We start from the raw sequence: 15076 nt of genomic DNA on the forward strand, positions 1-15076 counted from the left end.
TTCCATATAAGATTAGATTTGAATAAAGCACTGTATGCCTTTAAAAAGGTTTGAAAATCACTGGTCTAATAAAAGAACAGTGAAAACTGACAGGCAGCTATATTATAAAAAGAATACTGGATTGAGGGTTCATGATGACTGTTTTATTCTAGTTGTTGAACATGTACAGCCATGTCGAAGGAAAAGTTCTATTTCTCACCTCTCATAAAGGATGGCATTTTAAAGGTGAATTTTAATGTCATTCATCTAATAAATATTTGTTGCATGCAATAAGCACAATGTTATTCATATATTCATAGTAAAGTAATAGGGAGAAAGGAAGTACGGAATATCCTGAGGATATCAGCTGTCATCAGAGATGTAACAAGCTGGGTCTCAGAGCACAAGTTTGCCAATTGATTAAAAAGGAAAAAAAATGAGGCATCGTAGATAGAATCATAGGTCCAGAAGAACAGAATTAGAAATAGCTACCACTGAATGAACATTTCCTCCATGCATAGACTTTTATCCTCACCACACCTATGGAGATAGAAGTTATTATCCCCATGCAGACAGGGGTATGCCAAAATCACAAAACTCGTGAGTGGCAGCGCCACGTTTGAAACTGGGGTTGTCTGATTTCAAAGCCAAGGCTCTGGGTTCACAGAAGTACATGTACTTAAGAGGTGTGAAGCAACATGGGACTACTGGAAGGAGGCGGTGAGCCACGAGGCTGGAAATGCAGGCACCTGCTCTCGCTCACTTGACCATAGAGCAACTTGGGCAAAGAAGGGGTGGGCTGACATTGGAGTATGGAACAAACGCATGATTTCAAATAAGCATGTGTGTATCCATCCCAGTTCTGTCCGCTGAAAAGGCCTAGAAGCAATAACACACCAAGCCCTGTCGAATGGTGGGGTCCGCCAGGACCTCCAGGCTTGCTCCCCGCCCTACCCGCCAGCTTCTCCGCCACATTCCACTGCCGCAGCAGAACCGGTGTCCTTCACCTGCCTGCGTCTTCTGCAGTTCGTTAAGCAGCGCCCTTAGCTCCTGTGACACTTTAGGGAGAAAGCCGCAGCACCGGCGATGTTGGCCGCCATTAACGCCCGGCAAAGCGCCCGGAACTAGAAGCAGCGAAGAACCCGGGTGGGCAGCGACCGTGACAGCCGAGCCGGAAGCGGAGCTGCGGGAGGGGCCTCGACGCTCCTCCATCTTTTATTGGAGCTCACCGCTGCCAGTCGCGCTGCCTGCCCGTCCCACCCTTTTCGTGCAGGCATTCAGCTAAATGACGGGCGGAGCCCGGCGGCGGCTTCCGGTCGGGGGAAAAAAGTTGGGCCGAAGGAGGGGCCGGGAAGACGCAAGAGGAAGAAGAGAAAACGGCCGGGCGGCGGTGGCTGTAGGTTGTGCGGCTGCAGCGGCTCTTCCCTGGGCGGACGATGGACAGCCAGGGCAGGAAGGTGGTGGTGTGCGACAACGGCACCGGGGTAAGGGCCGCGCGAGGAGGCCTTGGCGGCCACAGACGCCGGCGGGGACGAGCAGCTGGCGCACGGGCCCTCGGCCCCCAGGGCTGCACCTCCGGGCCCTCGGGGCGAAGGGGCGCGGGGCGGTGCCTCCCACCTCCGCGGGCGTGGGAGCGAGCCGGCCGTTCCCTGGTCTCCCTTGAGCCTGCCACCCATTTAGCCTGCCACCCCCTCACCCTTCCGGGTGGGGGCGGCGGGCGAGACCGGCACTGGACATGGAGCCTACTGACCGCCCGGCAGGGACCTGCTCCGCGCTAATGCGGGGGCAATTGGGCTAAAGCGGACGGAAGCGTAAAAGGCTCGGTTTGTGTGTTCCGAGAAGGGCTCTTTTCCCCAGGGCCACCGGTTTGTAAAAAGGAGAAAGACCTAGAGGCCTTCCTCTTCCTGTATAGTTGAAGATACACCAAACGAGAAGCAGGAAGCGGGTTTACTTAAAAAAAAAAAAAAAAAAAGGGAAGTGCTGTCATGGAGTGTGGACCTCAGCCCTTTCGCTGTGTTTGTTGGGCTTTTTATTAGTTTTTTCGAGGGAAGGGGTCCAGATCGGCAGCGCATCGTTCACTTTTTGTTTTACATACTAGTATTTGGCCCAGGAGTAGGCCCACGGAGACCAGCATGTTCCATTGAGTGGTTTTGGGTGACCTAGGATCCCGCAAGACTCAAGTGTTAATTCCACTAGCCTTAGGGGAAGTTAATTAGTGTTGATTATCCCACCCCCAGCCCCCTTTTTTCCCTTCGTTTCAGTATACAGGTAATGTTAGCCTTTAAGATTCAAAAATTGTAAAATCTGACTAAAGCACTGATTTAGAAACTATTTGAAAATTGTTTCTGTAATCCCAGCACTTTGGGAGGCCCAGGCGGGCAGATCACCAGAGGTTAGGAGTTCGAGACCAGCCCAGCCAACGTGGTGAAACCCCGGTCTCTACTAAAAATACAAAAATTAGCCGGCCGTGGTGGTGCTTGCCTGTAATCCCAGCTACTTGGGAGGCTGAGGCAGGAGAATCCCTTGAAGCCAGGAAGCGGAGGTTGCAGTGAGCCGAGATTGCGCCACTGCACTCCAGCCTGGGCGACAAGAGTGAAACTCCGTCTCAATTATAAAAAAAAAAAATTGTTTCATTCAGACCTCCCTCTTGCCAGATTAAAAAAAAATGTATTTTGGGTAGCAAAGTCAGCAAATTAGAAGATGGAAATATTATTTATTCTGGATGACTTCTATAGTGATTTCTAACCATTTTGATGTTGCAACATTTTGTGAGTTTTCTCCCCTCCCTCCCATAAATATGATGTATGAATTAAAGTTCATTTTACTTGAACAAAACACTTTGGAATCTGAATTGTTGAGGGGGAAAAGAGCTGGTATTTACTGCCATAATACTGCCCTTGATTAGATTTGTTACACAATTTTACAAGCAATAATTATGGTAGCTTCATCTGAACTGTGTTAAAAATGGACTAGAGTAAAAAGAGTGTTAACGTACATTGAGGCCAGGCGCGGTGGCTCATGCCTGTAATCCCAGCACTTTGGGAGGTCTAGGCGGGCGGATCACCTGAAGTCAGGAGTTTGAGACCAGGCTGGCCAACATAGTGAAACCCCGTCTCTACTAAAAATACAAAAATTAGCCGGGCATGGTGGTGGGCGTCTGTAATCCCAGCTACTCGGTAGGCTGAGGCAGGAGAATCGCTTGAACCCGGTAGGCGGAGGTTGCAGTGAGCCGAGATCGCACCACTCCAGCCTGGGCGACAGAGCAAGACTCCGTCTCAAAAAAAAAAAAAAAAAAAAAGAAAAACAAAACATATTAATGTGACGGTTTTTAAGAATGTAATATTTTTAAAAAGGCAGATCCACTGCTATGGAAACGTCTAAGATTTTAAGTTGAAAAAGGTTTTAGAATGATTCAGTTTAAGTGTGTGTTCCTTATTAAAGATGTATGTCCACAAACTTGTATCCGCATATGAAAGTTTTGGAGGGATACATAAGAAATGTTCATAATGGTTACCTATGAGACAGAGGATAAGGGAGTGAGGGAAGATGGAGAGGACTTCATGACCTTTCTGAATTATTGGAAAAATGTTCTTTATTTGAACAAAGCAAGTATTATTAAACTATATTTAAACTAAATTAACCATAAACGCATGTTACATGTGCGGCTAAAATTCAGTTAAATGTGCTTTTTAAAAAAGTATTAGCCTGATTTCCACTATAGTTTCAAATTGGCCTCTAAATAAATAAAAAACTTTAAAAATTGAATTTAAAATTTTTTGTTTTGTGATTGTGTCAGATACTCTTTTTAGAAAGTCAAGCCAGTTATATTTTAATGAATTCTTTTAGGGGTTCAAGGTAATGAGCCCTGTATTTGTAGTATATATGAGTTTTTAAATATTAAATTAGAATGGGAATGTTAACCGAAGCTGATTTTTTTTTTTTTTTTTTTTTTTTTGGACACAGGATCTAGCTCTGTTGCCCAGGCTGGAGAGCGATGGCGTGATCTCGGCTCTCTGCAACCTCTGCCTCCTGGGCTCAAGCGGTTCTCCTGCTTCAGCCTCCCGAGTAGCTGGGACTACAGGCTTGTGCCACCACACCCAGTTAATTTTTTTATTTTTGTAGAGACTGGGTCTCCCTATGTTACCCAGGCTGGTCTTGAACTCCTGGGGTTAAAAGATCTGCCCACTGCGGCCTCCTAAAGTGCTAGGATTACAGGCTTGAGCCACTGCACCCTGCTGTCAGAAGCTAATGTTATGTTACTATTCCATTAGTTAGCTAACATTAGAAGGCTGATTTTAGGCTGGGCGTTGTGGCTCATGCCTGTAATCCCAGCACTTTGGGAGGCCGAGGTAGGAGGTTCACTTGAGGTCAGGAGTTTGAGACCAGCATGGCCATCATGGTGAAACCCCGTGTCTACTAAAAATACAAAAATTAGCCGGGTGTGGTTTCTGATGCCTGAAATCCCAGCTACTTGGGAGGCTGAGGCAGGAGAATTACTTGTACCTGGGAGGCAGAGGTTGCAGTGAGCCAAGATCACGCCACTGCACTCCAGCCTGGGCGACAGAGTGAGACTGTCACAAAAAAAAAAAAAAGCTGATTGTAGTATGTTATTGATTAGTCTTGTGTCTAATCCATGTTTTTAAGATTCTTTTCCTTAAGACAAGTGATCAATTCCTGTCATAAATGAAAAAAGTGAGTGTAATTAATTCAAATAAAATTTATCTGTTCTTATGCTTCTAGTTATTTTAAAATTTTATGCAGATTTTCTATGGACATGATTGGTTTCAAATGAAGAAACAGTGCTGTTAAAATACATGAATCATATAACAGGAATGCTGTAATAGTTCTGAGTATGTAGAGGACTAGGAACCGCTTAGATTGTGTATTCTGTTTCTTACCATTTGTAGACATGAATAATCATCTTGATTTTATTTAGATACCTGAAGTTATAATGATTCCTTTATAATTAAATATTAAAGAAGATATTCAGATGTAATTTTGCAAATTTATGGAAATAGTTGTTATCCTAAGGTGTTTTCATTTGCTCCTTACATGCCTTAGGTTTTAAAATTGTAGGCTGGCTGGGTGTGGTTCCTCATGCCTGTATTTCCAGCATTTTGGGAGGCCGAGGTGAGAGGATTTCTTGAGGCCAAGAGTTTGAGACTAGCCTGGGTTAGTATAACAAGACCCCATATCTAGTAAAAATAAAAATAAAATTACAGGCTTTTTAAAAAGTTACGATTCTTTTAACCTCTCTGGCAGACCCAAATTAAATATTCTAGGACAGGAGTGTCCAGTCTTTTGGCTTCCCTGGGCCACATTGGAAGAGGAATTGTCTTGGGCCACACATGAAATACACTAACAATAGCTGATGAACTAAAAAAATCACCAAAAAAATTTCATAATGTTTTAAGAAAGTTTGTGAATTTGTGTTGGGCCTCATGCAGCCCGTGGGCCATGGGTTGGACAAGTTTGCCTGGAAACAAGTTTGTACTTACGATCACATGACCAATGTTGGTCCCGCTTGATTTTCTATCTCCCAGCTTGACCAGTGTCTCAGTAGGGTTGCCCAGAGGAGGAAAACTCATTTGATCCAATAATTTATGTGGATTTTAACCATTCAAACCTCCTTCTGAAATCAAGCCACTTAAAGTGGCCCAGATAGGTGAAAATCTGGAGGTCTGTGAAACTCTAGGTTTAGGTCCTCTTCACGAGCTAGGCCCAGGCCCCTGGTGTTACGTGTCTTGTTACCAGACTAGGGTGATTTCATCAGCATTGAGTTAGATCACCAACAAAATGAAGGTTTCTCCAGTGCGTGCTATGTTGCTGGCACAGTGCTTAATAAGGTCCAGTCGTACAGAGAAGCTTATAGTGCTAGAATAATTGCATTTGCATTTATGTAATTGACATTTGTAGTTGATTGTGGCCTGCTTTATCGGGCTTATGCTACTTTATATGTTGAATTTAGGAGTGTTTGAAACAGAAACAAACCAAAACCAAATTTGGTTTCATCTTGCAAAATGCTTTGGTATAAGTAGAATAAATATTTTGGTGGCCTAAGATCAGAACAGTCACTGTGCAGTTAACTTACTAAAGAACATCAGTACCATGAGATAAAATTAGTAAGGGGAAAATAAATATTAAATAAGCCCAAATGGGGCTTTATAAATCCCAGGTTATTATTTTTTTGAAGAGAAAAAAAAAATGTACTTTTAGAGCAGATGTAGATAGAATTTTTCATTTTTGCTTGAAAGAACATTATACTGTTCATATTCTTACCATTTGATGACTCAGTGGGAAGTAAGGGAACTAGTTTAAACCACACTGCTGTGAAGAGGAAACTATATATGGTAAAATCTATTTCTTAAACACAGCCTTACTGCACACAATGAAAGAACGAAGTCACCAAGTCTTAAAATGATTGACATGGGGGAGGAATTTCAAGGATTAAGATGATACCAATGATACCAAATGATAGTTTAGAAAGGAATGTTTTCTTTGTATTTTATCACATCATGGTTTAGTTTTTTTTTTTTTTTTAGACAGAGTCTTGCTCCGTTGCCCAGGCCAGAGTGCAGTGGCATGATTTTGGCTTACTGCAGCCTCCATCTCCCGGGTTCAAGCAATTCTCCTGCCTCAGCCTCCCCAGTAGCTGGGATCACAGGTGTGCACCACCACGCCAGGCTAATTTTTGTATTTTTAGTAGAGATGTGGTTTCTCCATGTTCGTCAGGCTGGTCTCCAACTCCTGACGTCAGGTGATCTGCCTGCCTCAGCCTCCCAAAGTGCTGGGATTATAGGCGTGAGCACTGCGCCCAGTCTAGATTTTTTTTAATACTGATTATTATTATTATTTGCAGAAGTAATCAGATTGTCAGTTTTATATTATTGAAAAATTGGGGCCAGGCACAGTGGTTGATGCCTATAATCCCAGCACTTTGGGAGGTAAAGGTGGGAGGATTGCTTGAGGCTGGGAGTTCAAGACCATCCTGAGCAACAGCGAGACCCCTGTCTCCACAAAAAATAATATAATTTAAAAATTATAATTTTTATTTTTTCTTTACTGCTTCTTGCAGAGCAGGACTACCCCATAGGCAGTGTGCCCAGAGTAGCCAGTATAATTTTTTTTTTAATTATTTTATTTTATTATTGTTTTTGAGACAGAGTCTCACTCTGTCTCCCAGGCTGGAGTGTATTCATGTTATCTCGGCTCACTGCAACCTCCGCCTCCCAGGTTCAAGTGATTCTTCTGCCCCAGCCTCTCAAGTAGCTGGGATTACAGGCATGCACCACCACGCCCAGCCAATTTTGTACTTTTAGTAGAGATGGGGTTTCACCATATTGGCCAGGCTGGTTTCGAACTCCTGACCTCAAATGATCCTCCTGCCTTGGCCTCCTAAAGTGCTGGGATTACAGGTGTGAGCCCCCACACTCAGCCTTTTTTTTTCCTGACAGGGTCTCACTCTGTTGCCTAGGTGGGAGTGCAGTGGTACAATCATGGCTCAAGGCTCAACGTAGCCTCAACCTCCCTGGGCTCAGGTGATCCTCCCACCTCAGCCTCCCGAGTTTCTGGGGCTACAGGTGTGTGTCACCACGCCTGGCTAATTTTTGTATTTTTTGTAGAAATGGGGTTTTGCTCTGTAGCTTCAGGCTGGTCTCGAACTCCTGGGCCCAAGCAATCCACCCACTTTGGCTTCCTACAGTGCCAAGATTACAGGTGTGAGCCACCATTCCCAGCCAATTATTTTAGTTCTTGTTATTATAACTGTTAATGTTTTCACTTTTGAAGTAATGTGAAATAGTGCAATTTTTGCTATCTTGATGGATGAATATATACCCTGTATGAAAACTGGTGCTGAGTTCTATGGCAACATCTGCTTCCAATAAACTACTGCTCAAGCAGAATAGTTTTATTAATAAGTGATTGATAATCTTTAATTTGAATGAAAAGTCTTTTTTTTTGTTAGGCAGTAATAGTAGGTTTACAGTTGTTTTTATAGTTTCAGGGATTTCAGTTTTTGTCTTCTAACTTGGGAAATGTTTGTTGCTTAAAATATACTCATAAGAATGTTAAGATACGAACTACCCATCTGAACGATTATAATTGGAAGACTTTGAGTGATGTGATTATTTGCCACTTTGCCATGTTGTATGTCCAGTGTGTGTAGCTCTGAAGGAGAGGGGAGACGTGTCAACCTTAGCAGCCTCTTCCCTGCACTAGGATCAGACCTATGCTCCATCCCAGGCTCCTCCTGCCACCTCCAGCTTCTCTTACGATTTCTCACTTAGTAAACTTATTTATTTGCATTCAGCATGCCAAAAATGAACCTTACAAACTGGTAGGTTCTCTTTTCATTCATTCATTCATTCTATAATTTTTTTGAGATAATTTATACGCATATAAGTGAGCATTTTCATCCGGATAAATGGATACTTTTGACTATATCTGTTTATTACTTGGAGGTAGGCATAATAATTTAATATCAAAATAGTATTTAATTCCCATATTTGAGATATTTGTGTAAATTATGACTGACATTAGGCTGGCGATCATGACAGATGTTATACAGAAATGTGGGAACAATAGGGATAATGATGAGAACAGATTCTCTTCCATATCATTTAAGTTTGTATCAAGTAAACTGGATTTTGACTTAAAAGAGAGTTTGTGATTTGGGAGAGAAGAGTGTGTGAGAGGTGTGTGTGTGTGTGTGTGTGCACGTGGTGTGTGTGTTATGTTTTAGTTTGAAAATACTAAAAAATACTAGATGTTATTCTTTTCCTCTGAGGTAGTTTTTCCTCCATGTCTTAGGTCACATTATTTAAGAAGACACTGAGAAAAAATGAACTACTACTCCTGAATTCTGTTCATTTTAAGGGTGGGAAGTGTATTCCAGTTCATCACTATCAACCACTGCCAAGGGGAAATAGCTGTGAGCAAGTGGGTTATCTATTGCATATGCTATCATATCATGCTAACTTCTGCCTTAAAAAGTAATCCAGGCTGGGTGCCGTGGCTCACGCCTGTAATCCCAGCACTTTGAGAGGCTGAGGCGAGTGGATCACGAGGTCAGGAGATTGAGACCATCTTGACCAACTTGGTGAAACCCCTTCTCTACTAAAAATACAAAAATTAGCCAGGTGCAGTGGCGAGCGCCTGTAATCCCATCTACTCAGGAGGCTGAGGCAGGAGAATTGCTTGAACCCAGGAGGCAGAGGTTGCAATGAGCCGAGATCACGCCACTGCACTCCAGCCTGGATGACCGAGTGAGACTCAGTCTCAATAAAATAAAATAAAATAATCCAAAAGAATTGTATTATACTTTTAGAAATGGATAGCTGTACCTGAAAAATGCCCTTACCTTGGTGGCTCAATATAAACTAAGACTAGGTTTGTGGGCTTGTAAGAAGACATCTGAATAATATGTTTTATGTAGTTTCTATTAATAAAATGTAAACATGAGGTGAAAGGATAGGAATTGAGGTGGCATTGGGAGTGTGAACTTTCCTCATTTCAGACGAATTTTTCATAAAAGCTTTAATCTGATTGTCATGACTGTAACATATTTGAAAAAACTCTGTTTTTAAAAGACTAAGTGGGGCCGGGTGCGGTGGCTTATGCCTGTAAGCCCCAGGCTGGTGGATTACATGAGGTCAGGAGTTAGAGACCAGCCTGGCCAACATGGTGAAACCCCGTCTCTACTAAAAATACAAAAATTAGCTGGGCGTGGTGGCAGGCGCCTGTAGTCCCAGCTACTTGGGAGGCTGAGGCAGAATTGCTGGAACCTAGGAGGCAGAGGTTGCAGTGAGCTGCGATGACGTCACTGCACTCCAGCCTGGGTGACAGAGCGAGACTCCATCTCAAAAAAAAAAAAAAAGACAAGTGAAATTCTGGATGGCAGAATGTCCTAGGCTATTTATAATTAAATGTGGTTCATCAGCGTCATCTCCAACAGGGCTGCTGTAGAGATCTTTGAAAATACCAAATTTTTATGTTTTGGAGAGCTACATAAGATCTTGCTAAGTTTTACCGCATTAAACAAAAGAGTTTCTTGTAGATAGTAGCTTTCTTTTGTTGTTGGTTTTTTGTTTTTTTGGGTTTTGTTTTGTTTTGTTTTGTTTTTTTTGAGACAGGTCTCATTCTGTTGCCCAGGCTGGAGTGCAGTGGCGTGATCTCAGCTCACTGCAACCTCCGCCTCCCAGGTTCAAGTGATTCTCATACCTCAGCCTCCCAAGTAACTGGGATTACAGGCATGCACCACCATACCTGGCTAATTTTTGTTGGTTTTAGTAGAGATGGGTTTCCATCATGTTGGTCAGGCTGATCTCAAACTTCTGGCCTCATGTGATTCAAGTGGTGTGCATAGTAGCCTTCTATCAAGAGGTACATTGCTCTTTTCTGTCTACCTTTGTTTTATTACTGTCATGTATCACATTCAGGTACTATTTTTCATCCTTAATTCTAAGAATGTGTGGTGCCTGGAGCCATAGAAAAACAGACTTTTTCTGAATATTAAATATATTTTAAAACAATCATGGTATCATACTGTTAAGTCAACAGCAAAACTTTTAATATTTATTGATCATTTACTGTGTACCTATTATGTGCCAGACGCTGTTCTAGGCAGTTGGAATTCATCAGTAAACACAGTGTAGCTAACATTAAATAAATGCTTGTTAAAGAGGGTGCAGACTATGATTACATTTCCTTTCTTATATAGCTTCCTCCTCCCACCCTGAAATTTTTAATTGCCCTTTCCTTGCAATGTCTGCTCTTACTAGACTATGTATTATTTATTTTTTGTATGTTTTTTGAGACAGGGTCTCACATGATCACGGCAGCCTTAACCTCCCAGGCTCAAGTGATCCTCCCACCTCAGTCTCTGGAATAGCTGGGACTATAGCACATGCCACAATGCCTGGCCAATTTTTAAATTTTTTGTAATTTTTTCCGGGGGGGAATCTTGCCGTGTTGCCCATACTGGTCTCGAGCTTCTGGGCTCAAGTGATCTACCTGCCTAAGCCTCCCAAAGTGCTGGAATTACAGGTGTGAGCCACTGGGCCCAGCGTAAACAGACTATACAAGAATTTGTAACTGCCGGGCACAGTGGCTCATGTCTGTAATCCCAGCAACTCAGGAGGCTGAGACAGGAGGATCATTGGAGGCCAGGAGTTCCAGACCAGCCCGTGCAACATAGTGAGACCCCATCTCTACAAAAAATTTTAAAACTTACGCTAGGCGTGGTGGCTCACTCCTGTAATCCCAGCACTTTGGGAGGCCGAGGCAGGTGGACCACTTGAGGTCAGGAGTTTGAGGACAACATGGTGAAACCCCGTCTCTACTAAAAATAAAAAGAATTACCTGGGCGTGGTGAGGTACACCTGTAGTCCCAGCTACTCAGAAGGCTGAGGCACGAGAATCACTTGAACCCGTGGGCGGGGGCGGTGGAGGCCAAGCTTGCAATGATCTGAGATGGAGCCACTGCACTCCAGCCTGGGCGACAGAGTGAGACTCTGTCTCAAAAAATAATAATGAAAATAAAAACTTATTCGGGCCTGGTGGCACATACCTGTAGTCCCAGCTACTTGGGAGGCTGAGGTGGGAGCATCACTTGAGCCCAGCAGTTAGAGGCCACAGTGAGCTGCAGTTGTGCCACTGCACTCCAGCCTAGGCAACATACAAGACCCCAACTCTAAATTTTAAATATTTTTTAAATTAAAAAAGTATTAAAAGCTCTTGATTCTCTCAAGTTTTACTGTAGTTAAATCCTGTAGAATATCAGCTTCTTATGTATAAAATGGAAGTCTTATCACAATGATATGTTCTCGGAGCAGTACACAGAGAATGAAATTATGTTACCCGGTATTACTAAATATATTTATCTAAATGTAAAAATGTAAATAGGGCCAGGCGCGGTGGCTCACGCCTGTAATCCCAGCACTTTGGGAGGCTGAGGCGGGCAGATCACGAGGTCAGGAGATCGAGACCATCCTGGCTAACACAGTGAAACCCCGTCTCTACTAAAAATACAAAAAATTAGCTGGGTATGGTGGTGGGCGCCTGTAGTCTCAGCTACTCGGGATGCTGAGGCAGGAGAATGGCGTGAACCCGGGAGGTGGAGCTTGCGGTGAGCCGGGATGGCGCCACTGCACTCCACCCTGGGCGACAGAGCGAGACTGTCTAAAAAAAAAAAAAAAAAAAGTAAATAGCTAGCCAGGCGCGGTGACTCAACGCCTGCAATCCCAGCACTTTGGGAGGCCGAGGTGGGCAGAGCAGCTGAGGTCAGGAGTTCGAAACCAGCATGGCCAACATGGTGAAACCCTGTCTCTACTAAAAATGCAAAAATTAGCTGGGCATGGTGGTGGGTGCCTGTAATCCCAGCTACTTGGGAGGCTAAGGCAGGAGAATTGCTTGGACCTGGGAGGCAGAGGTTGCAGTGAGCTGAGATCACGCCACTGCACTCCAGCCTGGGCGACAAGAGTGAAACTCCGTCTCAAAGAAATAAATAGCCAAAAATGCCTAATAAATGTTTCTTTTCATAATACGGTGATATTAGTTTAAATGACACTTGGTTTTCCCATTTTGGAAAATGACATTCTCTAAGCGATTTGCCCAAAATGAATGAAAGTCTGCTTTAGAATTGAAGCTTTAGTTCTGTTCATTTTCTCACATTTCTCTTTCTAAAAATACTTAGCATTTTGCCGGGCATGGTGGCTCACGCCTGTAATCCCAGCACTTTGGGACGCTGAGGCAGGCGGATCACCTGAGGTCGGGAGTTTGAGACCAGCCTGACCAACATGGAGAAACCCCGTCTCTACTAAAAATACAAAATTAGCTGGGCTTAGTGGCGCATGCCTGTAATCCCAGCTACTTGGGAGGCTGAGGCAGGAGAATCACTTGAACCCAGGAGGCGGAGGTTGCAGTGAGCCGAGATTGTGCCATTGCACTTCTGCCTGGGCAAAAAGAGTGAAACTCCGTCTCAAAACAAAAACAAAAAAAACCTTAGCATTTGTTCAGCGAATTTGTCCATCCCACAGATACTTCTGGAGTGAGCACTGTGTGCCAGGAGCTCTGTTAGGTATTGGATTCCAGCACGAACTGCTCAGCTTAGCTCCCTGCTCTTATGAGGCTTTTGGTCTAGTGAGGGAACTTAGGCACTAATTTAGCAGTAAATAAACATGAACCCTGGAAGTAGGCAATGCCGTGAAAGAAGTTAAAAGGAGATGTTGCGATAGATTGAGTGGCTACTTCGGGTGGACTGAAAGCACCAAAAGTTTAAAATGTTATATAAATGCAAAGTGATATTTTTCAGATGCTGTCTTAAAATATAGTAAATATCCTGATGCTAACCCACTTTTATTTTACTGTTTCATTCCAGTTTGTGAAGTGTGGATATGCAGGCTCTAACTTTCCAGAACACATCTTCCCAGCTTTGGTTGGAAGACCTATTATCAGATCAACCACCAAAGTGGGAAACATTGAAATCAAGGTAATATTTTATTTATTGATAAATGATAATCAAGACATGTGAGGTGTTCTTATAAAAGTAGTTTAACAGTTCTTTTAAGTAGTTTTAAAATATGTTGCCATGAAAAGCAAAGGGGAGGGTAGAAGTTCTCATATTTTTAATTTATATCAACACCTGAACAGGGGCACAAAAATTGAAGTTAATTTCATCTGATTTTGTTTATGTATGGCTTGATGCCATTACTCTTTGGAGTAAAATACTTAAGTTTATTACATTAATGTGAAACGCTGTGTTAGTGACTTAAGTCCTATTACATAATATAATTTTTAAAAGAAATCGGCCTGGTATTTTTATGTCTTTCAATTCCATATATTTGTCATTGTATGTGAGTGTCTCTTTGGCACCTTAGACTTTTTCTTTTCATGTTTTTATGGCCTGATCCCTCTACTTTTTTATATAGCCATTTAGGAAAACACAGGGTGTAAATCTCATTGATTCCTCTTTTCATTAATATAACTTATTTCCATAATGTGCAGAAGGAAGCCATTCAAGCCTTTATTTGGCCTTGGATTATGTATCTTACCATAAAGAGGAAGGAAAGTTTTCATTGCCTACTCGCTGTATTTAAGATGAAAGACTACATGAAAAGACGATCGATTTTTCTCCCATATTAAAGGGATCAGAAATCAAGTAGGAGTTACAATATTTGACAAGAAAGAGAACAGTGAGAGGACAGTAGTCACCAGTTGGCTTTAAGTTCTTCAGGTGACTGAAGGATCAAGTTATACAGAATGCCATAGAATTTAGGGTCTTTTTTAGTGAATTATTTGTGAACACGCTAGCATTGTTTGTCCTATCTGGATAGTCTTTAGCAAGCCTTCAGTGTAAGGTTATGAGTCATTTGAAATATGCATTAGGGCGTATCTCTTTGGGACATTTGTTTTATGTAGGAAGGTGGTAATGGGTGGTAGAGATTTGCTATGTAGCCTTCTGCTTTTGGGATAGAGAGTTGAGTTACACAATGAATAAAAATACAAGCTGAAACTTGGGTTCTGTGTTAGTTTTTTTTTTTCAGAGTTAAAGTAGCGAATTTTTCTGGCCTCTCCTGTTAACAAAAAAAATAAAATGGGACACTCAGTGTAAGTTTTTCCTTTTTAAGGAGCTTTTGGAATATTTGTGGGATTCCTTACTTGCTTATTGTGAACTCCTTTCATTCTGAATGAATTCTATCTTAAATGAACTTTGACTGGAAATTAGCTAATAATAGTGATAAGGATAAACTGTTTAATGAAGTTGAAGGCTATACTTTTTATTCAGTGTCAGGTTTTTAAAGAATGGCTTTTTTATATACTGGACAATAAAATTTTTGAGGTATGAAGAAATATCATGTATAGCCATAAATTTATTTTGCAACATAGGCACAAATAACTACACATCTCTTCATGCCCACTTTCTTCGTGTTTAAGGCCAAGTGATAGAAATCAAATTTGTCAGTATGCTAATAAAACATTTTTGCCAAGGAATTCCCTAGCAGCATTTGCTTGTATGGTTTGTCATTCTGTATTCTATTGGCTCAATTCTGTTCACTCTGTGCAATCTTGTAAGCCTATCAAGTTAAATTATTCTTCG

At 42.3% G+C, this 15076-nt stretch overlaps 1 protein-coding gene and 1 long non-coding RNA gene across 3 annotated transcripts in view, besides 4 other annotated features; one reads left to right on the plus strand and one right to left on the minus strand.

Moving 5' to 3' along the window:
• The window catches only part of LOC124907779 (uncharacterized), a 38010-nt gene extending 36905 nt beyond the window's left edge, over window positions 1-1105 (minus strand). Inside the window, exon 1 of the long non-coding RNA XR_007086461.1 lies at window positions 987-1105. This is a non-coding gene — a long non-coding RNA (uncharacterized LOC124907779). The remainder of the gene's footprint in view (window positions 1-986) is intronic.
• Window positions 328-1217: an enhancer, noted in NCBI's record as "H3K27ac hESC enhancer chr2:65453956-65454845 (GRCh37/hg19 assembly coordinates)". NCBI's record gives its function as "activates a minimal SCP1, AML or CMV promoter by ChIP-STARR-seq in naive and primed H9 embryonic stem cells {active_cell/tissue: H9 hESC(naive and primed)}" and the evidence as "EXISTENCE:reporter gene assay evidence [ECO:0000049][PMID:30033119]".
• Window positions 1218-2106: an enhancer, noted in NCBI's record as "H3K27ac hESC enhancer chr2:65454846-65455734 (GRCh37/hg19 assembly coordinates)". NCBI's record gives its function as "activates a minimal SCP1, AML or CMV promoter by ChIP-STARR-seq in naive and primed H9 embryonic stem cells {active_cell/tissue: H9 hESC(naive and primed)}" and the evidence as "EXISTENCE:reporter gene assay evidence [ECO:0000049][PMID:30033119]".
• ACTR2 (actin related protein 2) overlaps window positions 1337-15076 on the plus strand; it is a 43423-nt gene continuing 29683 nt past the window's right edge. For both annotated transcript variants that reach the window (NM_001005386.3, NM_005722.4), the window contains exons 1-2: window positions 1337-1463; window positions 13358-13468. In NM_001005386.3, the coding sequence (NP_001005386.1) occupies window positions 1416-1463; window positions 13358-13468 (159 nt within the window). In that variant the 5' untranslated portion in view covers window positions 1337-1415. The remainder of the gene's footprint in view (window positions 1464-13357; window positions 13469-15076) is intronic.
• Window positions 1489-1678: a silencer, noted in NCBI's record as "silent region_11578". NCBI's record gives its function as "represses an Ori minimal core promoter by ATAC-STARR-seq in GM12878 lymphoblastoid cells {active_cell/tissue: GM12878}" and the evidence as "EXISTENCE:reporter gene assay evidence [ECO:0000049][PMID:35858748]".
• Window positions 2179-2268: an enhancer, noted in NCBI's record as "active region_15927". NCBI's record gives its function as "activates an Ori minimal core promoter by ATAC-STARR-seq in GM12878 lymphoblastoid cells {active_cell/tissue: GM12878}" and the evidence as "EXISTENCE:reporter gene assay evidence [ECO:0000049][PMID:35858748]".

Source organism: Homo sapiens, chromosome 2 (genome assembly GCF_000001405.40).
Source record: "Homo sapiens chromosome 2, GRCh38.p14 Primary Assembly".
NCBI classification, from domain to species: Eukaryota; Metazoa; Chordata; class Mammalia; order Primates; family Hominidae; genus Homo; species Homo sapiens.